Source organism: Homo sapiens, chromosome 10, assembly GCF_000001405.40.
Source record: "Homo sapiens chromosome 10, GRCh38.p14 Primary Assembly".
Taxonomy (NCBI): Eukaryota; Metazoa; Chordata; class Mammalia; order Primates; family Hominidae; genus Homo; species Homo sapiens.
Genome location: NC_000010.11, coordinates 32,346,689 through 32,374,639, shown reverse-complemented (window position 1 = coordinate 32,374,639; position 27,951 = coordinate 32,346,689). Strand labels below are relative to the sequence as shown.

Genomic DNA, 27,951 nt, shown 5'->3' with positions numbered 1-27,951 from the left:
GGATTTGACAAGTGTTCTTCCATTGAAGGACCATGATTCGGGCATCAAGTACTCACATATTGGGGTTGGGAGAGGATGTAGCCCTTAAGCTTTAGATATAACCCAAATAGATGCTACAGATGGTTGCCTAATACAAATTCCTATTGCAAAATGAGAAATGAAACTTTGATTTATTGGCTAGAGAAAAGAGATGAAGAGAGGATCACTCTGGTAGCAGGAGTTTTGGGCATGTCCCTCTGAGATCCATTTGATGAAAACATTTTTTAAAACATGGTAGGGCCTCATTTTGCACATTTTGTTCACGGTGTCATCAAATAAACATCATGGTAAATATAAACTGTGAAGATGAAGCAGGGAAATAAAATTAGTATTGAAGTATTATATTAGAACTAAAATTTTTATTTTAGAACCTTCTGTAATAATTTCTAATGGTATATATAACAGAAATTTTAAAAATAAAAACATATTTTAATTTATGAGAATAATATAATTCAACACTTAGCTAATGGTTAATTAGTTAAACATATCAGGTATGGAGCAGGAAAGTAAGACTGATGTTATTTCTATACAGATGAATTGGAGGAGAAGGAACTATTTATTAAGGAATCTCTATGTGGGTTAAGATGATCTCAGGAATAAAGTTACCAGATTATTGTGTCATACAGCCAATTAATCTATAGTAGCTAGGTGTGTTATATTATTTAGTTTGCTTTCATACTAACATAGAACCCTACTGATAGTGGCATAAAAAATAAGGACATTAGTTTTTCAACTAAATATGTAATCAGGTGGCAAGTGAGTTCTAGGTTTGGTTCAATAGTGAGTTTTAGATTTGGTTCAACAATGTTATTAAGATACTTTAACCTTTTACGTTGCCATAACATCAGCAATGTCTTTCCTCATAGTCACAAAGTGGCTGCTGCAGACCCAGGCATCATATCCTAATATTAAAATATCCAAAGTGAGGAGAGTTACTCTTATTCATCTTGTTGTAAAGGAAGAAATCCTTTCTCAGAAGCCCCATAGCACAGTGTTTCTTAGAGCTCATTGGCCAGGTTTGTAGGACGTGCTTATACCTAAACCAGTCACTGACAAGGGGACTGAAATTACCAGGATTGGTTTAACTAGGCAAGATGTTTAGAAGGGTGAACATCTGCTGAATATTTAGAGCTCAATAAGGTTAGCACTTAATTGCTTTATGTAAACTTGAACTGTTTTGTATAAACATTCTTGAGTGATTAAAACATTAGTATCTGTTTTCTCAGTGGCCAGATATGTCACTTGTGGGCTAATTTTAAAAATAACAAAAACAACATTTGATTAGAGCTTACTATGTTCCAGCCTGCAGCCTAAATGCTACCTCTATCTCCTTAAATCTTCACACAAAATTAGGAAATAGGGCAATCATTATACCCATTTTGCAGCCAAGGAAACTGAGGCATAGAGAGGTTTATACCCCAGACACTTGGCCCATGTTACACAGAAATGAAAAAGCTAGAGTTTGAACTTGGGAAGTCTGAAATCAGAGGCTGTGTACTTACCTCCTTTTCTTTACTATCACATGAGATATTTGTAAAATTGGTGTTCTCTAACTTTTATTTTATTCTATTTTATTTAAACCGAGTTTCGCTCTTGTCACCCAGGCTAAAGTGCAATGGCACAATCTCAGCTCATTGCAACCTCCGCCTCCCGGGTTCAAGCAATTCTCCTGCCTCAGCCTCCCAAGTAGCTGGGATTACAGGCGCCCGCCACCACACCCAGCTAATTTTTTTTGTATTTTTAGTAGAGATGGGATTTTGCCATGTTGGCCAGGCTAGTCTCGAACTCCTGATCTCAGGTGATCCACCCGCCTCGGCTGCCAAAGTGCTGGGATTACAGGCATGGGCCACCGCGCCCGGCCTGACTTATCTTTTAAATGTGCTCTATGATATTGCTGTTGAATCTTCTGGTTAATTTATTACTTTGTAAATCTAACAGTGTTTTCCTAGAATGAGTAATCGGCCTTCTGATTTATCAGTCATATACAGATGAAATTTTGTATGTCGAATTTGCTTCTGATACATTTGTACTTGTACTTTACCTCCTCTCTTCAGGAACATCTCATGAAATTCTTTCAGACAAATTTTTACAGGGAAAAGAAGATCAAAGCCTAGAGATTCAGTGAGGCCTTATTGAAGGGGGTAAATTCATGATTCATAACATTAGGTCCAGATGGAATATTGGCATCCATTTCGCAATATGTAAGGCCAATGGTATGTACTGAAATGTTTCAGTCTTTATAACTTTGGCATATATGGAAGCTTTCACCTGTGGGACATTTTGCGGGGTTTTGTTGTACTCTAGATCAGTGGATTGCAAACTTTGGTGTGCCCTAGAATCACCTGGAGGGCTTATTGAAACACAGATTCCCAGGCCCCCACCACAAGAGTTACAGGTTCAGCTGGCCTGTGGTGGGGCATGAGAATTTTCATTTCTTAGTTCCCAGATGATGAGATGCTGTTGGTCCAGGCAGCAACATTTGAGAACACTGCTCTAGAGTATCAGAGGCTGTCTGCCATGATAAGTATTTTGGCTTTGAAATATGGATTGCAAACTTTGAAAGGGTGTCATTTAATTTTTGGCAAAAGGAATTAATATATACATATTTCAATATTAAATAGGATGTTCAGGGTAGGCTGATTGAAAAGGTGAGAGTTGAGCAAAGACTTGAAGGAGGAATCTTTTTGTTTTATTTTTTGAGATGGAGTCTCCCTCTGCTGCCCAGTCTGAAGTGCAGTGGCTCGATCTTGGCTCACTGCAAACTCCGCCTCCTGGTTTCAAGCAATTCTCCTGCCTCAGCCTCCCCGAGTAGCTGGGACTACTGCACCACCCCACCCAGCTAATTTTTGTGTGTGTGTATTTTTAGTAGAGATGAGGTTTCACCATGTTGGCCAGGCTGGTCTCGAACTCTTGACCTCAGGTGATCCACCCGCCTCGGCCTCCCAAAGTGCTGGGATTACAGGGGTGAGCCACCGCGCCTGGCCATGGAGGATTCTCCTTATGCTTTAGCATTAATATCACGTTTAAAATTTATTTGCCAACGAGTCATTAATGTGTGTATTTTTACCTTTTTAAAATAGCACGCATACTTTACAAGTGATTTTTTTAAAGTAGGTAAAAGTAGAGTTTAGTTTTGCTCAATATCAAGGTCCATCTGTGAAAGACCTGAATCTGTGTCATTTTGCTGTTTTTCTCAAGATTTTATTCCACCAACCACCAATGCCACATATTCACTAGTAGGACATAGTATCCATGAGACTGAGAAAGGGAAGCTGCCATGCCAATGACCTATATTTAGCTCTGAAACTCAGGCCACTGCTCCAATCCACTGGAAACTCTCCATCCTCCAAGATAGAGGTCACAATCCCCAGTTGAAAAACACTGCAACATGCCAAAGAATGAAGAGGACCATTTCCAAGAGTTTAATTGCTTTGCGGTTCCATTATTAAGTTATGAGACTTCAGAAATTTTTAGTTCTGAAGGTGTTCATTCATTTGTCAAGAAACAAATTGCCAACCTAAATGAGGGAGGAAAAAACCAGCAAATTCCATGTCCTTTCTATCCTCAGAAGCCATTATAAGCTTCAAGCCATCCTTCCATACCATTGGAGGTCTTCTCAAGAAGCTGGTATGAAGTATCCTGAAGAGGCATAAGCAATGAGTTTGGGCTAGTGTGGTCTAGAATCAAAAAGAGTCATTCAGCATCTATTTAATAGTAGACTCAGATCATTTAAAATTGCCTAAAACTCCAGAACTGTGCTGTCCAATACGGTACTCACTAGTAACATGTGGCTATTTGAATTAACTTAAATTTGAATTAGCTTAAATTTTAAAGTTCATTTTCCCAGTCACACTATCCACATTTCAAGTGGTCCATAGCTACACCCAGCTAGTAGCTACCATATCGGACAGCACAGATTTATGGCACATTTCCATGACTGCCCAAAGCTCTATTGAACAGCCCTGGTCTAGAATGATTCTGGGTCCTTCAGATCATGAGAGGCTCACACTCGTGCACCACTGGTTCTCAACTCTGCCTGTATGGAGAATCACCCAGAAACTTAAAAGCAAAATGTCTATGCCCTACCCTAAAAAGTTTTGGTTTAGTTGGACTGGATGGGATCTGGAAATAAATATTTCCCAAAAGTTGTCCATGGGATCCTAGCAGTCAGGGTTGAGAATTGCTAAGTTATAGAGACAGGCTTACGGCTATTGAAGCAACCCACTAAACCAAAAATTTGGGGGAGGTTTTTGTAGACTAGCCAGGCTACTTCTCATCTCCATCTTTCAAAACCTACTATCCATCTCCTAGGAGGTGAGGGAGGCCCAGACCTACATAAAGATTAATGACAGTGAAACCAGTTCTGTGGAGTGAAGCAAAAAATTGACTGCCTAATGAACACAAACTTTTGCTGGAAGAAAACCAGCCCTGTAACTCCTCTTCAGTTATGAGTTATTTGATGCCCTTCAGAGTGGGTCTTATATATTGAAAGGCTATTCAGAAGTTAATTCCAGTTTTTAAAATATATATAAAAAGTTTTTAGCTTATATATTCAAAGTAGTAGTTCTCCATTATGCTTTAAAATTTAGTATACAAATCTTATCATATTCATAAATCTTGCAAATTTTAGAAATCATGATCCTTTAAATAATATCTGGTCTTATCTGTAGCATGACTTAATTAAACACCTCCCAACTTTTTACACTGAATTTATAAATTTAGTACATATAATTGCCTTCTTTAGTACTTTGTAACATTTTCAAGAAGCTAAAATCTTACAGATCTAATAATTTAACTTCTAAACATGGTAACTCTTAAGTTTGCTCTAATGTTTCAATAATACACATAAACTTAGTAAGAATTCTGCTTAAAAGTCTAATAGGCTGACCTCTTACTCCATTAGGTCAAGTGTTCTTAAATAGTGCAATTACTTACACTACAAAAAAATGCAGTACTTTCGACAGCACATTCTAAATCTTTCTGGAGTTAAAATATGCTTACCTGTTAAAAGAACCGTTATGACCTACCCAAACAATTTGGGGTGTTGTCTTCCCAAGTAAATTTTTTGGTCTGCCTTCTTAGCTTGTTCAAATTTTTTGACGAACAGTGGTTTTGGTTGGAACACAACTAGATCCTTGTTTGAGACACTGATGGGGTGTACTGAGCCTTATTTATATTTACTGTATTTTTTATTTTAAAAAAAGGTATTCTGAAGGCCTACTTGTCTTAGATATTGAGTCGTATCATTTCTTATTTTCAAGTCATGTTAGAATCTATGGCTACATCAATTGAAAAATACCTGGATTTTGCACTTCCTAACCTTTTAGAATATGTAGCTGTCTTTTATATCTAAATCTAAATACCTTTGAATTTGGCAGAATGTCATATTCTTTCACATTGTCTCGTAGAACAATCAACTCTTCCAGATATTTCTGATCCTTGACTGACTGAATTTCTCTCATGGCTTTGTCTGGCTATGTGGTCACAATTTCCAATGTTATTCTATTGACAAGGTTTTTTAGCTTCCAGAATAGCTGACCAGAAGCCTCTCCATCCACATTTCTATTGCAGACATTAGGAGAACACTTGAAGTACACGGCTTTGTCTGATCTGTTCAGAGTTCCTAACTTTGCCCTTTACTACCAATTGTCCAGACCCTCAGTTTCTTCTTCTATCAAACAAAGTAATATTACTTAATCTCACATGGCTGTTGAGAGAACACAATGAGTTTGTGCATCTAAAGTGCCTTGAATAGCGCTAGACTTGCCATAAGTACTCAAGATGTACTCTAAGTTCTGTATTTCTTAGACAAACCTGATTTCAGAGATCAAAATAGGCCTTACACAGTGCGACGCGAATTTAAAAGATTACCGCATTCAGGTGTATGGATTTTGCAGTATTAAAGATGCTGCCTGGAATAGGTCATTATCTTCTCCAAGTACTCTGTTAAGTCAATGAGTCACATAGAGTATAAGGTTTATTATCTGCTTTTCTTTCATTAAATAAATCTTTATTGAATTTCTACTACATTAAAAAACCAAACCAAAACAAAACAAACAAAAAAAACACTTCCCTGAGCCATAAAGGAAAAGGTAGTTTTGACTGGAACCTTGAAGGATGGGTAAACTTTCAGCAGATAAAGATTGAGAGAAGACCTTCCAGGTAGAGAAAGCAGTGTGGGCACAGGCAAAGATGGAAGAACACACGTGGCTGTGGGAAACACAGCTAGAAGCCAGTGCGGATAGAGAGTAGGCTATGATGTGCAGAGGTTAGACACTGGGAGAGACAGGTCCATGAGAGTAGCTTGGACTAACACAGGGAGGGTTTGGAATCCCAAGCTGGGGAACCTAGAAATCAGGCATTGCCCACAGAGCACCAGTTCAAATGCTTGCGTCAATTGCCAGAAAATGATGAAGGGATAAATAAAGAGAGAACTACTTCTTTCTTTTATTTGTCTGTTAACCCATTGGCATTGTGGAGGGAAACTCCAACAGTCTGGGTCTCTTGCCAGGTAAGTTTTGATGGCGGAGTAAAGAGAAGTAGAAAAGGTTGGAAGTTTGGGACAATTTTCAGTAAGTGTGGACACTGGACAGCAGGGGGCAGCATAAGGGCACCAAAAAGTTGAAAGACGCAGAAGACATTCGCTTATGTAACATTTCCTGACAATTATGAGTTTACATTTATAAGGCTACTTATATTAGTAACTTAGCATTCTTCTCCCAAAAATGAACAGAAAATGACAGAGAAAAGACGAAAGAAAAATAACAATTGCACTGTGTTAGGCTGGCTAACAGCAGAATGGCACTGCTGTTTATTTGAGAGGATAGAAACAGGCAGTTGTCTGCTTATTATTTCCTTTCAAATAAATACAAACTCAGAATTCAATACAAATGTGTACATTTCAATTGGAAAACACACCTTTATATGACTTTACGATTTTGCATTTTTAAAAATACATTTGTTCAGCTATACTGTATTCACAAGTTTCCCTAGTGAAAAAGTGGGGAAACTTGAAAAAATATATCATTTAAAAAGAATTGAAAGTTTAATATACATGTTATTTTATATGCCAATATATGGAATTTTAAATTTTGAGTTGTTATGATTATGAAATTTTCTGGACTTTTAAATTAAAATTTTTTCTTTATGTCTAAAATTCAAAATTATCTACATTACATTTAATCAGATTTTTCTAGTGAAATTCATCTCTTACTAGCCTTTTTAAAAGTTTCTTCAGCTATTGTTTTAAAAAAGTTTGGGGCCGGGGACGGTGGCTCATGCCAGTCTTTACATTAATAAGAATAGCGAAAGGCTGGGTGTGGTGGCTTATGCCAGTAATCCCAGCACTTTGGGAGGCCGAGGTGGGCAGATCACTTGAGGTCAGGAGTTCGAGACCAGCCTGGCCAACATGGCAATACCTCTACTAAAAATACAAAAATTAGCCAGGTGTGGTGGCTGGCGCCTGTAATCCCAGCTATTCAGGAGGCTGAGGCAGGAGAATCGCTTGAACCCAGCAGCTGGAGGTTGCAGTGAGCCAAGATTGTGCCACTGCACTCAAGCCTGGACAACAGAGCAAGACTCTTTCTCAAAAAATTAAAAATACATACATACATACATACATACGTACATAGTTTGGATGGTTAGTGATGTTAAGAGTGGAAAACTGGAAATTTCCACGTAGATTTTTTTTTAGCTCTGGAATTTGCCATGGCAAAGGCTACATTATACTCACCTGCAATCTCTCCATCCAACTTGTGAGGAAGATGGTAGCACACTGCTTCATACCCTCACACTTAAGGAGAAACCTCTCTGTCTGTGTTCCTTCATGATTCTTTCAATGCCTGTCACACGTTTTGAAGGCTGTGATCACTGTGTGGGTTGCACTCTGTGTGCTGCTTTTTGTTCTGTCATTTTGCTTTTTTATATATACCTCTTTACATGTATTGATATAATACCTCATATTTATCACTATAAATGGCCAAAAAAAATTGATGGCAGACTATTCTTATGATTATTGAATACTGATTTCCAATTTTAATAAGGAAAATCTGAAACAATGAATAAATTTGGGGCTTAAGCTGGTTAGCATTAAACTTCATTCTTCAATATCATAATTGAAAATAAAGTACTCTGTAAGGTAACTTCATGAAAAATTACCTATTTTTTTATTTTAATCATTTGTAAATCTGGGCATATAAAGATATCAAGTTATTTAAAATGTTACCTTTCAAACTAGAGTTTACAAGCAGGGTGTGCCTGCTTGTGTTTATAGGAAGTAAGTTCACTAACGGCAAGAGCAACATTTTCTTTTATATTTCCCCTGGCTTATAGTACAATGCTTTTGCACAGAGGTGGGGCCCAATAAACAAAACAAGGTTAGGAAAACTTATTAAAGCATCATATGAAACATAAACATGTTTTGTAATGTAGATTTAAAAGTACTCGTGGTCGTTGTTGTTGTTGTTTTTAGCCTGAGTTTCGCTTTTGTTGCCCAGGCTGGAGTGCTGTGGCATGGTCTCGGCTCACTGCAACCTCCTCTTCCCGGGTTCAAGCGATTCTCCTGCCTCAGCCTCCCAAGTAGCTGGGATTACAGGCACGCGCCACCATGCCATGTTAATTGTGTATTTTTAGTAGAGACGGGGTTTCACCATGTTGGCCAGGCTGGTCTCGAACTCCTGACCTCAGGTGATCCACCCATCTCGGCCCCCCAAAGCGCTGGGATTACATGTTTGAGCCATTGCACCTGTCCTTTTTTTTTTTTTTTTTTTTTTTTTTTTTTTTGTGAGACGGAGCTCTCTCTGTTGCCCAGGTTGGAGTGCAGTGGCGTGATCTCGGCTCAGTGCAACCTCTGCCTCCCGGGTTCAAGCGATTCTCCTGCCTCGGCCCCCCAAATAGCAGAGATTACAGGTGCACCACTATGCCCAGCCAGTTTTTTCTTTTTTGAATTTTAGTAGAGACAGGGGTTTCACCATGTTGGCCAGGCTGGTCTGGAACTCCTGACCTCAAATGATTCACCTGCCTCAGCCTCCCAAAGTGCTAGGATTACATGCATGAACCACGTCCCCGGCCTAAATGTACTCTTCATATTTCCATCATATGTTTCAAATTGTGAAAGTGGTTAGAGTGCGACTGTTATTGTTCTTGTTGTTGTTGTTGGTATTTTTCTCAGTGCCTAAATAAGACTGTGCTAATTATTTTCTTACATAGAAATTCTCCTCACTTTCTAGTGAAACTATCAGACTAATTGCAGATCTTTTATTACTAGATGGTTATTTTGATCTGCTTTAGCCTTTATGCTAAAGTTTGCATCTTTTCATATTAATTCTGAGTCCTTGTTATCTAGTTTTAGTGACATTTATAAACAACACTGATTCCTCAAATCACATTTGAGCACACTTAAGGCAGAGTTACTTCTACTAACCATCCTGTAAGACCATTTTGTTTAAGCGTCAAGTGTCACCAATTACTAACTAATAGGCCATAACCTCTCTGACTCAGGGATTGAAGTTACGTTCCCTAGGGCATGTCTTCCAGAACTTTTTCTCTTATACTTCTCTTAGTGCTTTCTTTACTATGTAAACCAGGGGTATCCAATCTTTTGGCTTCCCTGGGCCACATTGGAAGAAGCAGAATCCTCTTGGGCCAAAAAATATACAAACGATAGCCGATGAGCTAAAAAAAAAAAAAAAAAAATCATGAAAAAATTCTCGTAATATTTTAAGAAAGCTTATGAATTTGTGCTGGGCTGCATTCAAAGCTGTCCTGGGCTGCGTGTGTCCCACAGGCCACAGGTTGGAAGGTTGCAGGTTGGACGAGCTTGATAAATATATAGTTAGAAAATACCAAAGGCATAGTTTCTTTAGAAATCACATGTCTCAAAGTAAATTATCTTTTCTTGGCTTTTTACATTTAAAAAATTTCATGTATTCCCTATTTTCTATAAACTACAAAAAATAAAAATAAAAACAATAATAAAATTTGAGAGTTGAAAGAGTTGGGAAGGGTCGAGTCTCACTCCTTCTTTTCAAAGTTGAGGAGATGGAAGCCCAGGGATATTAACATCAAGACCATTCAACTAGGTGGTGGCAGAGCCAGGATTGAAACTTACATTCTTTAAAATAAAAGCTTGCAAATAACTTTGTAATACAGTTAAGGTAACCTAGCATGGGTTAATTTTTAATTCATTGATGACTCTAATTATAAAAATGTCACATGGCTTAAAAAAATTTTTGCTTTTTAAAAATACCCTGAGTAACCAACATGATGGGGCTGGGCACAATAGCTCATGCCTGTAAGCCCAGCACTTTGGGAGGCTGAGGCGGGCAGATCACCTGAGGACAAGAGTTCGAGACCGGCCTGGCCAACATGGTCTCTACTAAAATACAAAATCTACTAAAAGTCTCTACTAAAAATACAAAAATTAGCCGGTGTGGTGGTGGGCACCTGTAATCCTATCTACTTGGGAGGCTAAGACAGGAGAATCACTTGAACCCGGGACACAGAGGTTGCAGTGAGCCGAGATCACGCCATTGCACTCCAGCCTGGGTGACAAGAGTGAAACTCCATCTAAAAAAAAAAAAAAAAAAAAAAAAAAAAAATGCCAACATGATGGACACGATACTATTATAAAATTAGACTTTTTCTCTGTACATAAAATTGTTTTGTTTTTTATTCCCACTGAGAATTAAGAAAAGAGAATATTTTAAGAAAGACCATTATACAGAGGATAGTTCAAAATTCATGCTGAAGAGCTATTGCTTTTCAAGTAGATTGAGCAAGTTTAGCTATTTGGAAAAGCACAGTTATCGGAACAACTCAAGAAAACAAAGGCAAAAAGAGTTCTGTTAAGACAGAAGAAAGGAAACTATATATTGGAAATACACACAATAGTGTCCCCTACAAGCCTGGTGTAAAGAAGCGTATATATACATGTGTGTGCACACTAGTATTTTTGTGAATTGAAAGAGAAAGGATAGAGTTTGAGAATTTATTTAAGAAGGAACACTTTTTTAAAAATTCAGAATAGCATTTCTTTCTTTTAAAGGTCTAGGTTTTTAGTATTTTTGTTCAAGGGAAAGAATGACTGACAGCTAGCATAAACCCAGCTTAGCATTTATGTTAAAATGAAGGTAATTAGAACCTGGCTCAGGATACTCAGGGGCAACTGACTTTCCACCCTACAGTGAAAATTATTCCTTACTCTTTCTTCAAGAAAAAATGGGCTGAGCACGGTAGCTCAAGCTTGCGGTCCCAGTACTTTGGGAGGCCAAGGCAGGCAGATCCTTTGAGCACGGGAGTTCGAGACCAGCCTGGGCAACATGGTGAAAATACAAAATTTTCTCTGCAAAAAAATATAAAGATTAGCCAGGTGTGGTGGCACATGCCTGTAGTCCCAGGTGCTCAGGAGGCTGAGGTGGGATGATTGCCTGAGCCTCAGAGGTCAAGGTTGCAGTGAGCTGAGATTGTGCCACTGCACTCTAGCCCAGGTGACAGAGTGAAACCCTGTCTCTCAGGTAATAAAGAGTTGTCTCCCTCTTCCTGTTACAGATACTTTTACTAATATAGATTTCCTTTATGGATGTAAATTTCTTTTACAAAAGTGTAGCAGAAATACAGGTTCAGTAGCTGGCTACTTGCAGAGTTCGCTTACCAAGGAGGTATGGTGTAAAGAAGGTGAATTTTTGTTCCTAAAGCTAGCTTAGGAGAAGAAGTACAGGCTTCCTGCCTTAAGGGTACTGCTTCACTTCTGCAGCAGAAAGCAGGCACTTTTAAAAGGGGGCCTAACATGAATGGCACATGGGAGGAAGCAAGCAGATGGGGTATCCATGTGTTAGTTTGGTGCCTTATCTACCAGGCAGTTGAGTTGGCATCTTCGTGGGCCAAAAACTATCCAGGTGGGAGAGAGTTTTGTAGCAGGCATACTGTATTAGTTTGTTCTTGCATTGCCGTAAATACCTGAGACTGCGTAATTTATAAAGAAAAGAGATTTAATTGGCTCATGCTTCAGCACGCTTTATGGGAGGCACGATGCTGGCATCTGCTCGGCTTCCGGGGAGGCCTTAGGAAACATAGTCATGGTGGAAGGTAAAGTGGGAATGAGAACTCTTATTGCCAGAGCAGGAGCAAGAGAGAGACAGGGAGCGGGGAGGTGCTACTATGCTTTCAAACAACCAGATCTCATGAAAACTCACTCACTATCATGAGAACAACACCAAGAGGATGGTGCTAAATCATTCATGAGAAATCCACCCCCTGATCCAAGCAGCTCCCACCGGACCCCACCTCCAACATTAGGGATTACAGTTCAACATGAGATTTTGGCAGGGACACATATCTAAACTATATCACATGCTTTTGTTACCAGAAAGGGGTCCCCATCCAGGCCCCAAGAGAGGGCTCTTGGATCTCATGCAAGAAAAAATTCAGGGCAAGACCATAAAGTGAAAGTGAGTTTAGAAAGTAAAGGAATAAAAGAATGGCTACTCCACACACAGAGCAGCCCCGAGGGCTGCTGATTGCCCATTTTTATGGTTATTTCTTAAGTATCTGCTAAAAATCTCCTTATTTTAGAGCATATAGGGTAACTTCCTGATGTTGCCATGGCATTTGTAAACTGTCCTGATGCTGGTGGGAGTGTAGCAGAGGTCACTCTCATCACTATCTTGGTTTTGATGGTTTTAGCCAACTTCTTTACTGCAGCCTGTTTTATTGGTAAGGTCTTTATGACCTGTATCTTGTGCTGACCTCCTATCTCATCCTGTGACTTAGAATGCCTTAACTGTCTGGGAATGCAGCCCAGTAGGTCTCAGCCTCATTTTACCCAGCCCCTATTCAAGATGGAGTTGCTCTGGTTCAAACACCTCTGACATTTGGGGCTGTAAATTGACTATTATCTCTCAAAGCAGTCTCCCGATGGGTGAGAGTTTCGCTCTGAAGCTTGGAAGCACATAGATGAACTTGCCCCATAGGGGGTGTCTGGTGATTGGGGGTGGGTAAAAGGTTATAATTGCATTTCTAAATGACTAAGCAGGAAGTGGGGAACAGGGAAAATGCAGAAAAGAGAAAAGAAGAGAAAACAGTAAACTATAATCGTAACTTATTCTATTTTTCTTAGAAAAATGGGGGTATTCTGTAACAAAGGATAGCTTTTCGGCGCTACTACTATACCTGCAACTTCTCAGAATAACCAGCTCAAATATGCCAAAGAAATAAATTTTGGGGGTGGCATATTCTGGTCTCCCACTGTCATATTTTGGGGTGGTATGTCCTGATCCCCAACACAATGCCTGCACATAGGCGTTACAGAGGAGGAAGCTGACGCTCATAGAAGTTATAAATCTCATTCATGTTTACAGAGCTAGAAAAAAGCAGAGCTGAGATTCAAACCCACATCATGTTTGACTCCAGAGCCAGACCTTTTAACCACTACACAACACTATATCTCTTAGCAATTTGTTTTCCTAAAGCTGTTGACCTAAAGGAAGAAGCTCAGGCACAAATACAATTTTAAGAGTTTACTTAAGCCAAAGTGAGGATGGCTGCCCAGAGCACACTTTTAAGTTGCCTTGGAGAGTGCTCCCTTGGCCTTTGTTACAAGCATGTTTTTAAAGGCAAAAGAGAATAAGGAACGGGCTGTTTGACAGGAATTCTCATTGGGTTAGAGAGACCACATTGATTACTGATTGTCTATACTTTTTTTTTTTTTTGGAGATGGAGTTTCACTCTGTCGCCCAGGCTGGAATGCAGTGGCGCGATCTCGGCTCACTGCAACCTTCGCCTCCTGGGTTCAAGCAATTCTCCTGCCTCAACCTCCCAAGTAGCTGGGACTACAGGCGCAGGCCACTGCGCCTGGCTAAGTTTCGTATTTTTAGTAGAGACGGGGTTTCACCATGTTAGCCAAGCTGGTCTCGAACTTCCGGCCTCAGGTGATCCACCCACCTTGGCCTCCCAAAGTGCAGGGATTACAGGCATGAACCACCTGATACATGTGAGATCAAATCCTTTCTATAGAGTCCTACTGCTGGTAAATGGTAAATACTAGATTCAGATCCAGATCAGCAAATATGGAAACCCGTGTTCCTTCTGGTACATCCTGCTGTGTCTCACTACACTATGTGGCTGCCTTGAATGCAAACTGTTACTTATCACTGGACTGTTTTCACACACAGCACTCACCCTGAGGCAAACAGTAGCAACCTGTGCAAAGAGGCCTTGACCCCCTGGGAGCTAGCTTGACCAGATTTGGAGATTGGGCAGCCACTGTGCAACTACCAGATGAAATCACTTGGCAATGAGGAAAAGAGGCAACAGGGCTCCTTGTAGACATATACATGATACAAAACTACTAAATATACATAGAAATGATACAAAACTACTGATACAACATATGAATGATACAAACCTACTAAATATACCTAGGAATGATACAAAATTACTAATGATACAAACATAAATGATACAAAACTACTAATGATACAAACATATGAATGATACAAAACTACTAATGATACAAACATATGAATGATACAAAAACTACTAATGATACAGACCTGCTACTGATACAAACATGAATGATACAAAACTACTAATGATACAAACATACGAATGATACAAAAGTATGAAATATACCTACGAATGATACAAAATTACTGATACAAACATAAATGATACAAAACTACTAATGATACCAACATAAATGATACAAAACTACTAATGATACAAACATATGAATGATACAAAACTACTAAATGGAAACAAAACAAAAAGACCTCAGAAGGTGAATGTCCTCTTTTAAATAAATTAATTTTATATAGTATCTTTCAGGTATTTGGCTTCGTGTGAGAATTTCTTTTCTCTTTCCTTAGCTAAGAGTTTTGAAGCCTTTACAACACAATATTATGTTGTATACTGTACATATGAAAAATAAATCTCAGAAGAGTAAAATGATCTATTCAAAAAAATAGGGTAAAACTATCATTCAAAAAATAGCTTATGTTTATTAAGCATGACGTTTGTGGCAAGCCCATGCTATGCTGTTTTCACTGAATGCTTGCAACAACCTAGGTAATAGATTCTGTTACAATTCCTATTTTATGGATGGGGAAACTACAGCTTTCAATAGCTTAAATTAGTGTCAAAATCTTTTAATTAAAATTCAGTGTATTCATTTTACTAGAGAAATTTTTGGAAAGAAATGTAGCTAAACATTTCTCGTTAATTTGTTATTAAACCATATATACTATCAAAGTGTAGCAATCTGCTCAATTCTAGTACCTGCCAGAATTTCATCCAATTTTATATTTAAATGTCTTATATTACACAATTTTTAGCAGGATGAAACATTTTAAGACAGTGATAAGGATAATATTTTAAATTTATAAGATCTTTATGCCTTTTCAAAGTTTATTTGGCAGACTTGAGTAATTAGATGGATAACTTGATTGGAAAAACTTCTATTTCCTTGAATTGCCTAGAATGAAATTTCCTAAAGTGTGCGCTTATAGAGCTAAAGGTAATAATTAACAGTGTACAGAAAGGGGTTCTATGGTCAGAGAACTTTGGAAAATACTGTGCTAAGCATCAGTAAATGGGTTTCTTTTCTGCAGGACTTCCCTGAGCCTATACATGGTGAGCCTCTACCTATCTTAAAGAGGAAGATTTAATAAGCAGTATTTCCCTAACTTACCAGTTTTATACAGAATTCTTTACATAACTCTCATTTCAGAACATCAGTATTTTATGGAGCCTAGTTTTTGAAAATGCTAAACTAATATCTGGAAAGAAATACTGATATTTAAATCCTAGGTGCTTGTCATCTACTCAGACAGATGATGAAGCAGCTAACCTTCATTTGTGTAGACTTGGCACTATCATTATTCAAAGAACAGCAGACATTGGTTCTGTGCCTTAAACCGTGAAAATTTAAACCCACTTTCTTCCCCCCCCGCCCCCGCTTTTTTTTTTTTTTTTACTCCGTTCCCCAGGCTGGAGTGCAGTGACGCGATCACAGTCCACTACAGCCTCAACCTCCTAGGCTCAAGTGATCCTCCCACCTCAGCCTCCCAAGTAGCTAGGACTACAGGTGTGCACCACCACACCCTGGCTAATTTTTGTATTTTTTGTAGAGATGGGGTCTCATTATGTTGCCCAGGCTTGTCTCAAACTCCTGGGTGCAAGTGATCCTCCTGCTTCAGCCTTGAAAAGTGCTGGGTTTAAAGGTGTGAGACACCACACCCATCCTAAACCCACTTTTTATTTTTATTTTAAAAGTACTATTCAGATTATACGTGTTCTTTATAACAATGAAAAGTCAGTGCATTCTATACTTTAAGAGGGTAATTCTTAAGTAAATTGTTTTACAGATGCTAGATAAGTATCTTTGTCAAATAATAGTCTCAGAAGAGTATTTAATGAGATGGGAGCATTCTCAAATTATACTGAGAAGTAGCCTGGGCGTGATGGCTCATGCCTGTAATCCCACCACTTTGGGAGGCTGAGGCGGGTGGATCACTTGAGGTCAGGAGTTCGAGACTAGCCTGGCCAACATGGTGAAACCTTGTCTCCACTAAAAATACAAAAATTAGCTGGGTAAGGTGGCAGGCACCTGTAATCCCAGCTACTCGGGAGGCTGAGGCAGGAGAATCTCATGAATCCGGGAGGTGGAGGTTGCAGTGAGTGGAGATCATGCCATTACATTCCAGCCTGGCAACAGAGTGAGACTCTGTCTAAAAAAAAAAAAAAAAAAAAAAATTTATTGAGAAGGCCACAAAACAGAATAAACTGTATTATCTCTATATTGTAAAACCAGCCAATGAAAAGCAAAAACAAAAACTAACAAATGGGGCCAGGCATGGTGAATCACACCTATGATCCCAGCACTTTAGAAGGCTGAGGCAGGAGGACTGCTTGAGGTCAGGAGTGCAAGATCAGCCTAGCCAACGTAGCAAGACCCTGTCTCTAGAAAACAATTAAAAAATTATCCAGACATGGTGGCACGCACCTGTAGTCCCAGCTACTGAAGGCTGAGGCAGAAGGATCACTTGAATCCAGAAGTTTGAGGCTGCAGTGAGCCGTGATAGCACAACTGCACTGCAGCCTGGGCCACAAAGCAAGATCCTGTGTCAAAACCACAACAAAACTAACAAACAAAACCAGAAAAGACCAGAAGAAACAGAAACACAAAGTGTTAACCTTATTATAAATAAATCAATTGAAACAAAAAATATTATCTCGTTCCAATATACATGCTGCTGCAGTGCAACTGTCTTATTTTTTGTCTTATGCGTCTCGTGTTTGGGAAACCAAATTCAGAAGAAATCTTAAGATCTGGATGTGGCTTTTACCTGTGTCAGTAATTCATGTAGAGAAGTCATGTAGGTCTTTGGTTTCCAAGCTTCTACAGCTTTAACTCTGGAAGATACGTCATGTACTCTGTTCTAACATGGGAGGCGCTGAGGATGATAGCTACTCTGTGTCCCTGGCTATGTCCTGAAGCTTAACTGATTTTTGACTTCAAAGTGGTCTCATTCTTGTGAACAAGTACTTAAACAATGATTATAGGAGGGTACTGGGAAATCACTTTTTTGGGGGCTTTGGTAAATTTTTTTATTTTTATTTTTTTGATGCGGAGTCTCGCTCCCTCGCCCAGGCTGGAGTGCAGTGGTGCGATCTCAGCTCACTGCAAGCTCCGCCTCCCGGGTTCACGCCATTCTCCTGCCTCAGCCTCCCGAGTTGGGACTACAGGTGCCCACCACCACGCCCAGCTAATTTTTTGTATTTTTAGTAGAGATGGGGTTTCACCGTGTTAGGCAGGATGGTCTCGATCTCCTGACCCCGTGATCCGCCCGCCTCGGCCTCCCAAAGTGCTGGGATTACAGGCGTGAGCCACCGCGCCTGGCGGTAAATGTTTAATCAACGTGCGCAGGCACCACTAGGCCTATAACTTCCAATTCACGGCTCAGCTCACAGAGTCTATTTTCCTCCCACGGTGTCCTAAAGAAAATGGGTTTACTGTGACCTCCTCATTCTTTTTGATTCTCCTCGTTGATCTCCTCCTTGAAATGCTGACCTCATTTGGCTTGTCTCCAGGCTTGTCCCAGCCTCTCCCTCTGTTCTTGTCCTGGGTATCTTCTAGATGTTGGTATTCCCCAGGGCTCCATTCTCTATGCTCCTCTCTCACTCCCTGAGTGAGTCTTCACACCAAGAATCCCACTCCATGGGCTTCCAGTCATTCACTTTCCCTTCCCTGCTCTGAAAGGGAAGGGGAACTAGATTCACAGTGCTTACCTAAGCAATTGGCACAATGTTACTCAAGGTGTCATGGAGAAGAATAAATATAGTGAAAGATAAAACATTTTATTTCACTAATCTTAATTTATTAGATGATAATTCTGTACCCCAAGTTTCAGTAAGAAAACAGAATTTCCTTCCTCGTGTTATAAAAGCAAAAGCAATTCATGATATTTTCTCTCTCGAAGCCCTTCCTCCCTGACAGTCTTTGTCTACCACCCACTAATAAATTGTACTTAAATGTTCCAACATATGTTTCTACTTCATTAACAATTTTTCTCTAAATTTTGTTCCTTTGTTCCTTCACCCATCATGTACCATCTGTACCATACTGATTTGTATGTGCATTACTTAGTAAAACTAATGCTTAAGTAGTCTATCTACTCAAAAGTGTAAGGCACTGGCCAGGTGCAGTGGCTTACACCTGTAATCCCAGCACTTTGGGAGGCCAAAGCAGGCAGATCACCTGCGGTCTGGAGTTCAAGACCAGCCTGGCCAACATGGTGAAACCTTGTCTCTACTAAAAATACAAAAATTAGCTGGGTGTGGTGGCGCACGCCTGTAGTCCCAGCTACTCGGGAGGCTGAGGCAGGAGAATGGCTTGAACTCAGGAGGCGGAGGTTGCAGCCAAGATCATGCCACTGCACTCTAGCCTGGTCAACTCTGTCCCAAAAAAAAAAAAAAAAAAAAAAAAAAAAAAAAAAAGGGTAAGGCACTAAAGGTAGTGTGTTCTTTGTTTTTGTCTTTCTACCATTTATAACCTTGCACCAATGCCTGGCCTACACATAGTAATCTGTCAGTATGTGCCAGTCAATGGATTTAATGGGTTGACAGTAATTTAACGTAATCCAGTTTAGATAAATACCACCAAATATTTCTAAAATGTATACAGTTTAATTTGTACATTTTTCTAAGATAGACTTTTATTCTGAGAAATTAATTGTTGGGATGAGACATGGAAGAGACTACCGAATAGTTCCTCTGCTAAGGAGTAAATTATTATTTTTCAAGTTCAGTTTCTCAACAGTTTCCTGTTCACGCATCCCACCACTTCTCCAACTGCAACTAGTAGTATCCTCCTTAAAATGCTGTCATAGAGGTATCAACTGCTTGCCAGCACAGTGAGGAAAAGATCAGATGATTTACAGCAGTGGTCCCCAGTCTTTTTGGCACCAGGGACTAGTTTCATGGGAGACAACTTTTCTATGGATCCAGGGGAGGGAGTGCTCCCCCTATGAGGATGATTCAAGTGCATTACATTTATTGTGCACTTTCTTTCTATTATTATTACATTGTAATATATAATGAAACAGTTCTACAACTCACCATAATGTAGAATCAGTGGGAGCCCTGAGCTTGTTTTCCTGCAACTAGACAGTCCTATGTGGGGACAGTGATGGGAGGCAGTGACAGATCATCAGGCATTAGATTCTCATAAGGAACATGCAACCCAGATCCCTCAATGTGCAGCTCAGAATAAGGCTTGAGGTCCTATGAGAATCTAATGCCGGGTGAAGCTTGGGTGGTAATGTGGGCACTAGGGATTGGCTGTAAATACAGATGAAGCTTTGCTGGCTTGCCTGCCACCCACTTCTGTGCTGTGTGGCCAGTTACACATTACACATTTACAATAAATGTGTAAATCCCAATACATTTACACATTTATTGTGTAAATCCTAAGGTTATAGAAAACCTAAACCTTAGGATTTACACAATAAATGTGTAAAGACATTCTATTTAGATTACATAGAAAATCTAAAATGTATTGTGTGACATCTTTTTTAAATCCCAATACTGCTGCAACTACAATTCTCAGATAGTCCCATTTGTTTAAATCACGCATTTTCTTTCTTTTTTTTGAGGCAGAGTCTCACTCTGTCGCCCAGGCTGGAGTGCAGTGGCACAATCTTGGCTCACTTCAAGCTCCGCCTCCCGGGTCCACACCATTCTCCTACCTCAGCCTCCCAAGTAGCTGGGATTACAGGCGCCCACCACCATGCCCAGCTAATTTTTTGTATTGAATCATGCATTTTTCATTTCTTTTTTGTTGTTGTTGTTAAACTTCATATTGAAGATAAAGTTAAACTGAAATAACTTTGAGTCCATCCTGCTACTGTTTGCTAAGATTGATAATTTGCCCTTTATTCTCTTAAGGTACAGATATATTGTTTCTAAATATATTCTGAATGATTTTATTTTATGTGAAAAATAGTTCTTAAAGATTATGTACAGACCTCCATGCACAAATTACTCAGTAAGGAAATCAGTACTTCAGATATTGTTTCTGTGACACCTTAGTAAATATATTGAAAGGCAACTGTAATATTTTCTTTCCAACATTTCCTAGATGAAAAAAACAACATACTATAAAGGGCTTCCAGTGTTTGTTTACCTAAATGTTATGGTGGAAGAATTGTTTGCAGTCATTTCTTTATGTAGCTTATTATGAAAGTAAAAAGCAGGAAGTTAAGAGAAATGATTAGAAATGATTACTTCAAGTGATAATGTATTCAGTATTCATACTTTTGCAGAATGCTTTAAATTATTGCACTACATCACTTTTTAATGTAGAGATCATTGTGCATTTACATGGTTTAAAGATATTAATTTCACATTTTCCCAATTAAATACAAATACAGTACCTCACTTTATTATTAGTCCCGTGAGGATGTAGAGACCATATCTTGTTTATTATTGTTTCTCCAACACAAACTGTCTTGCCTTAGCTCTTAGTAAACATTTGATAAATATTTGTTGAATGCTTGAAGAAATGAGGAATCCGGACTCCTGCTACCAAAACCAGTATTATGATTTTTAATCTTGTTGTCCCATCAAAGAGAGTTTAACTCTTTGCATCACTGTCCATTCTGGCTGTCATTCTTTCCTGCCTGGCTCAGAAAAAGACAGCCCTAAAATTAACCCATTTAAATGATTCTTTGCTTTTAGTATACAAACATGCCCACATCTCTCCTACTTTCAAAAACAATGAAACCCTTGACTTCAAATAGCTACCCCTTTCTCTCTCTCTTTGCCCTTCATTACCAACCCTCTTAAACATCTCTTTCTTCGATTCTAGTTCGCACTTCACTTCAATCTGGGACTGCACTCTGGAATCAGATACCAGGGATTTCTTTTTTTGCTTTTTTTTTTTTTTTTTGAAATGGAGTTGTGCTCTTGTTGCCCAGGTTGGAGTGCAATGGCGCGATCTTGGCTCATTGCAACCTCCGCCTCCTTGGTTCAAGGTATTTTTCTGCCTCAGCCTCCTGAGTAGCTGGGATTACAGGCATGTGCCACCACGCCCAGCTAATTTTATATTTTTAGTAGAGACAGGGTTTCTCCGTGTTGGTCAGGCTAGTCTTGTACTCCCCACCTCAGGTAATCTGTCCGCTTCAGCCTCCCAAAGTGCTGGGATTACAGGTGTGAGCCACTGTGTCTGGCCAGATAGATACTAGGGATACTAAGCACTGCCTCTTATCAGCTTCCTGGCCATAAGCCAGTCACACAACCTCTCTAAACCCAACAGGAAATACCTAACAGGGCTGTCACGAAAATTGAGATAATGCATTTAAAGTATTTCTGCATCACCTAGTACATACTAGGTGTTCCATAAATGGTAGCTATTCTTCCTGTTGACTGAAAGCATAATAGGAGCTCAGAGATGAGAAAGACTGGGGGAGGCTTATTTTGCATTTACCTAACTGCTCACCGATGCTTCAGATTAGGAAATTAGGGCCCAGAGAGTTTAAGTAGTCAATGTTTCATGGGGGAGGTGATATTTGAGCTGGATTTTGAAGAATAATAACAATATCTTACATCTATTGAGGGTTCACTGTGGGCCAGGGATGATTCTAAGTGCTTTACATGGTTTGTTTTACTTAGTGTCCAAAACATTCCTGTGAAATAGGATTTCGGTAGACAGTCTGAGGCAGGACAGGGAGGACAGACTGAAAAGAATCAATACAGCTGGGCGGGGCGCAGTGGCTCACTCCTGTAATCCCAGCACTTTGGGAGGCTGAGGCGGGTGGATCACGAGGTCAGGAGATCGAGACCATCCTGGCTAACACAGTGAAACCCCATCTCTACTAAAAATTAAAAAAAAAATTAGCCGGGCGTGGTGGCAGGTGCCTGTAGTCCCAGCTACTCAGGAGGCTGAGGCAGAAGAATGGCGTGAACCTGGGAGGCGGAGGTTGCAGTGAGCCGAGATTGCGCCACTGCACTCCAGCCTGGGCGACAGAGCGAGACTCTGTTTCAAAAAAAAAAAAAAAAAAAATCAATATGGCTGGGCACGATGGTTCATGCCTGTCATCCCAGCACTTTGGGAGGACGAGGTGGGTGGATCACCTGAGATCAGGAGTTTGAGACCAGCCTGGCCAACATATGGTGAAACCCTGTCCTTACTAAAAAAAATACAAAAATTAGCCGGGCGTGATGGCGCACACTTGTAATCCCAGCTACTTGTGAAGCTGAGGTAGGAGAATCACTTGAACCCGGGAGGTGGAGGTTGCAGTGAGCCGAGATCACGCCACTGCACTCCAGCCTGGGCAACAGAGCAAGACTCCATCTCTCAAAATAAAATAAATAAATAAATAAATAATCAAAAGAATGAATAAAAACCTGGAGGCAGGAAAGACACGCTGATTTTTTTTCTTTTTTTAAGATGGAGTTTCGCTCTTATTGCCCAGCCCGGAGTGCAATGGTGCAATCTCGGCTCACTGCAACCTCCACCTCCCGGGTTAAAGCGATTCTCCTGCCTCAGCCTCCTGAGTAGCTGGGATTACAGGCGTGCACCACCATGCCTGGCTAATTTTTTGTATTTTTAGTAGAGATAGGGTTTCATCATGTTGGCCAGGCTGGTCGTGAACTCCTGACCTCAGGTGATCCACTCTCCTCGGCCTCCCAAAGTACTGGGATTACAGGCATGAGCCACCGCACCCAGCCGACATGCTGATTTCTGAAGATGGTGATGAGACTGCTAGCTAGAGTGAAAAGCTTGTCTTAAGCAATAATGACAAACGATGTTGGACAGAGTGGGGCAAAATTACAGGAGGTCTTGACAACCAAACACTCGAAAATTTGGCTTTATCTAATGGGCAAAACAAGAGCAGTTATAAAGATATGACTTGGGGAAGGGAAGATACAGAATGAAGTACAGTTTTTGGCACACTGACTTGGTGACATGCATTGTGAGGCCCCAGGGACCCAGAGCCTCTGCTTCCACTTTTGGTTACCACTAGCCACCAACAGAAGAGTACCAGCACAGTTTCCTATAAAGTGAGGGCTTTAAAAAGGTTTATTGAGGGAATGAGTAAATAAAGGATGGACTGAATAAATAAAGGATGAATGGGAGGCTGTTTCTAGGGGTGAAGTGATCAGAGTTGGGACTATGTTTAAGACAATGGAAATGGAAATTGGGAAGTAAATCCCAGAAACAATTTCAAAGAAGAAATCATAAGACTTGGATACATACCGAACATAAACTACTATTTAGAGCTGTATTTCAAATGTATTAGTTACCACAGAATGCAGTGTCAGAGCAGTTGCCTTTGGCATATTCTAAGTTTTTGTTAAGTAGAAATTCTGTATTTGGAACAGAAATCACATTTCTTGTGCTATTATATGTAATGATTATTACCATGAAAACTCATGTCTCTTTACTTTCTACTCCTACTCCATCCACCCAAGTTCTTACCAGTTTTATCTCCTAATTGGCTTGTTGTTGGAGTCTCCTACTGAACTCCGGCCAAATAAACCTCCTCATCCTCAATCATACCTGACAGTTGCCGCCTCTCACCCTTTTGTTCATACAGTTGCGTTCCCCCATGAATGTTCTTTCTTCTATAATAGCATTTCATTCCCATGAGCAGTTGAAACCTTAGCCATCCTTCAGAATCAGATCGCATGCTGCTTCTCCATGCTGTCTGATCAACCCAGATGGGACCTACTGCTCTCTTTTCTGAACTCCCATAGCCACTGCATTTCATTATACTGCCTTGCCACTTGGGCAACTGGGTATCCATTTACCAGTGTTTTATTTGTATCCCCTACAATGACAGTACTGTGTGTTACCTGGTTATCCAATACATATTTGTGACATCAAACTATCTTAAATACTCCAAATCCTTTCCCAAACAAGAGTTTCCCTCTGCCGTTAGGGTATTCACCTTTGCCCTAGCATACATTGTTTGCAACATCGAGAATTTCACATCACTTTTGTTGGGGATACTTAGAAAAAGAAGGAATTTTAAGTTGAGAACAGAAAAGAATTTTTAAAGTGAAAGTACAGGATTAACCATTTTTTCAAGGAATCTTTCGGACAGATAAAAGAATCTAGGGAAAACTAAACCTGAATCTTTACTGCTGCCTTCCTGTCCCTTAAGGTGAAGAAAAGTGAACTGCATAAAAAAGAGGCATGGGTCCGAACGCAGTGGCTCACACCTGTAATCCCAGCACTTTGGGAGGCCGAGGTGGGAGGACTGCTTGAGGTCAGGAGCTCAGGAGCAGCCTGGGCAACAGAGGGAGGCCCTGTCTTTAGAAAAAATTTAGAAATTAGCAGGGTATGGTGGCATGTACCTTTAGTCCCAGCTACTGATGGCTGAGGCAGGAGGATCACTTGAGCCCAGGAGTTCAAGCCTGCAGTAAGCCATGATCACAACACTGAACTCAGGCCTGGGAGATAGAGACACTGTCTCTAAAAAACAAAAATTTCAAAAAAGGGTTTTTTTGTTTGTTTGTTTGTTTTAATTTTATAAAAGAGGCTTGGGACTCCAGCCTTTGAGTCCTTGGGAACCCAGAAGGACCTGAGAGTTGGAAATCCACAGCATTGAGGAGACGGATAAAGGAATGATGAGAAAAAGGTGTCTCTTAGCAGGCATATAATATTATCTGCCAAAAGGCAAGTGAATCTGTAAGCTTATCTGTGAATTTGCCACGGAGGGTGATTTTAGACTCTCTAGAGAATAAGAAATTTTTTTGTACTCCACCCATTATTACTAATGTAGGATGTGGAAATAGTTATTTTGTTGTTTACTGTTATTTTAATGAGGGTAGAAATAATTCATTTCCTTGGTTCACTCTTGACTTACTCTATTTTGTTCTTAAAATCTTAGGCTCCTCAATTATGAATTCTACTGCTAGGACTTTCAGGAACCTAATGTTGTAGGCTGGAGAGGGCTGTCAGAATAATATTCAGCCAGTATTTTCGGAACTGTTAAACCTGGCTAAACAGGTGTCATTCCACAGTGAAGTTGGCAATTCTTGAGGCTCCCAGAAAGTGACTGCTATCTAATGACTCAGCTTGTGGATACGTCGCTACCGTTGTCTTAAGATACCTTTCTTCCCTTCATTTTTACTTTTTTTGCAAAGTTAACCCACACTTATCCTACATAATTTTACTCAGATATCATCTCTTCCAAAAAGTCTTCCCTTGCTACTTCATTAGAACTACTCTCCTGGGTTGGGCGCCACTCTTGCCCCTTCCCACAGTGGCCTGGGCTTCCACCATAACACTTAGCTCGCCGTGTGGCAGTTGCCATTCGCGGGTCCTTCTCCCCACTGTGTAAGCTCCTCCAGGAGCCCTGTGGGTGCCAAGCTGACTTGGAAGGCTATGAGGGCTCAATACACACCCTCAATACTCATTGAATGAATAAAGGCACGGTCTCTGTGTAGGAAATGCAGGTGAACGTCCTTATGCCTCACTTAAGTGAGCTGCCAATATCGGAGTTTAAGTATAATTTTGGAGAACTGCAATCCGTCCTGTTTTCTCCCTACCCCGCGGGAGCTGGCTAAACCAGCCTGGAGGCTAGCAGTTTGCCTGTGTGCCCTAAGCTAGTGACAGCTCATATCAAGCCCAGTATTTAAGGAGCGTGATTACTTTTACTACGTAGTTCCCAGGGAGAAAAGCAACTCAAAACATTTTTGTATCTTTTTGTATCTTGTTGCACAAGATACAAAATTGTGCACTAAGATACAAATTGAAACTCGAATTGAAATTTGGCTGCCAATTTATTAAACCCACCCCAACAATCTTCCCTATTAACAACAACAACAACGAAGAGATCTCAGGATACCCATTTTCATGTGTAATATAAACCGATGCCACCCATCTATCATATCCATCTAAATCTAATAATTCAGCTTTTTGTTTGGCGGGAGTACGACAGGTCTTTATATGATTCAATGTTACAAAGTTTTTCAGAGGACAAATGATGAAAGTGTGAACCCACGGCTATGATGAAGCCGCAGTCTCTTTGAGTACAGAATCATGAGCTAGATATAAAGAACTGGCTTTAAATTCTGAAGTAGATCTTGCTTTTAAATGTTATAGTGGTGGGTAATAATTTCCTTTGCTTCAGTTACTATTTAAAAAGTAAATATGTGTAGATGAAAATGCAGGATTTAAAAAAATCTACTTTGTAGAATAGGATACCTATCATTTATATTAAGCCCAATGCGTGGGAAACGGATCAATGACTTGATGCGGTGCCTATAAAACATTATAATCCAAAGTTGCATTAGGACATAAAAATAACTGCTGATAAAAGTTTACTCAAAGTAGCATCTGCCCCTAATTCAGTTTGTATTTTTATCGTAAAGACCTAAGGCGCCGCGGGAACTAGGCTGTGCGTTCGCCCCCCGCGGCAGACGGCGGCGCGCGGCGCCTCTGGAGCGCCCCTCCGAAGCCCCGTGGGGGCGGCCGTGGCCCCGGGGCAGCCGCTGGCGAGCACCCCAGAGGTCCGAGCCCTCCGAGCCCCAGGTGCCCGGGGCCCGAGCCCCGCCTGCCACTCTCCCCAGCTGCCTTTCCAAACGGCGGCGTGCTGGTGGAGAGAGTTTTCCCGCACCTTGTTCGCCCGTCAGAAAGCGGCGCCGGGAGGGAGCGAGCGTGAGAAAGTGAGCGTGTGCGCTGCAGGAGAGCACGACCCAAGAGCCGGCGCCCGGTGTCCGAGCGCCCAGTCCGCCCTGTCCGCCCCCGGACCCGCGAAGGGCGGGGGCCCGGAGCAGCGAGGCGCGGGAAGCGAGGCCGGCGGGTGCCGGGGGTTGGCGGGACGCGCGCTTCGTGCCGGCGCCGGCCTCGAGCCCGCGCTCCCTCCCCCCGCCCGCGTGCCCGCGCCGCTGCGCGATGCAGTGTGGGGAATGGCTGGGGTTGGCTGAAGAGCGCACAGTGGAGTTTTAATGTCCGCCATGTTGGCCATGGCGTATTGAAGAGAGCGAGCGAGAGAGGAGCGGAGCGGCACAGCCTCCCACCCTCCCGGCTGGTGTTAGTGCCCGGACGGCGGGCTCTGCGCTCCGCCCCTCAAGTCCCCGGCAGCGGTTGGCGAGTGGGGACCGAACCCCCGGTTCTCCATGATCCCGCTGGCCGGGGCCGTTTCCCCAGAGCGGAGAGGTATCTGCTGCGCCTGAGATGAGTAAACTGTCGTTTCGGGCGCGGGCGCTAGACGCCTCGAAGCCGCTGCCGGTTTTCCGCTGTGAGGATCTGCCCGACCTGCACGAATACGCCTCGATAAACAGGGCCGTGCCGCAGATGCCCACCGGAATGGAGAAGGAAGAGGAGTCGGTACGTGTTAACTCCCCTGTCCGACCCACCGTCAGGCCCGCTCCCTCTGCTGCCTGCGGCGGCGGCGGAGCAGC

At 41.1% G+C, this 27,951-nt stretch overlaps 1 protein-coding gene and 1 long non-coding RNA gene across 18 annotated transcripts in view, besides 4 other annotated features; one reads left to right on the top strand and one right to left on the bottom strand.

The window, feature by feature from the left end:
• The window catches only part of EPC1 (enhancer of polycomb 1), a 111,019-nt gene that overhangs the window by 4,130 nt on the left and 78,938 nt on the right, over positions 1-27,951 (top strand). For 11 of the 17 annotated variants that reach the window (NR_168511.1, NR_168510.1, XR_001747214.2 and 8 more), the window contains exon 1: positions 27,482-27,877. The exons of 5 other annotated variants lie outside the window; for them this stretch is intronic. Coding sequence is in view for 5 of the 12 variants with exons in the window: in NM_001382755.1 (NP_001369684.1) it covers positions 27,725-27,877 (153 nt within the window). In the remaining 7 variants the exon portion in view is untranslated. Of the gene's footprint in view, positions 1-27,481; positions 27,878-27,951 lie in introns of those variants that run through there. One more of the 17 variants, NM_001272019.4, reaches the window with a different exon arrangement.
• EPC1-AS1 (EPC1 antisense RNA 1) lies at positions 152-27,276 on the bottom strand. Its single transcript, NR_104163.1, has 2 exons — positions 27,165-27,276; positions 152-337 (listed from the first exon to the last, which is right to left on the bottom strand). It is a non-coding gene; the product is annotated as an EPC1 antisense RNA 1 (long non-coding RNA).
• Positions 26,892-27,021: a silencer, noted in NCBI's record as "silent region_2288". NCBI's record gives its function as "represses an Ori minimal core promoter by ATAC-STARR-seq in GM12878 lymphoblastoid cells {active_cell/tissue: GM12878}" and the evidence as "EXISTENCE:reporter gene assay evidence [ECO:0000049][PMID:35858748]".
• Positions 27,032-27,501: a silencer, noted in NCBI's record as "silent region_2287". NCBI's record gives its function as "represses an Ori minimal core promoter by ATAC-STARR-seq in GM12878 lymphoblastoid cells {active_cell/tissue: GM12878}" and the evidence as "EXISTENCE:reporter gene assay evidence [ECO:0000049][PMID:35858748]".
• Positions 27,772-27,831: an enhancer, noted in NCBI's record as "active region_3247". NCBI's record gives its function as "activates an Ori minimal core promoter by ATAC-STARR-seq in GM12878 lymphoblastoid cells {active_cell/tissue: GM12878}" and the evidence as "EXISTENCE:reporter gene assay evidence [ECO:0000049][PMID:35858748]".
• Positions 27,852-27,951: an enhancer, noted in NCBI's record as "active region_3246". NCBI's record gives its function as "activates an Ori minimal core promoter by ATAC-STARR-seq in GM12878 lymphoblastoid cells {active_cell/tissue: GM12878}" and the evidence as "EXISTENCE:reporter gene assay evidence [ECO:0000049][PMID:35858748]".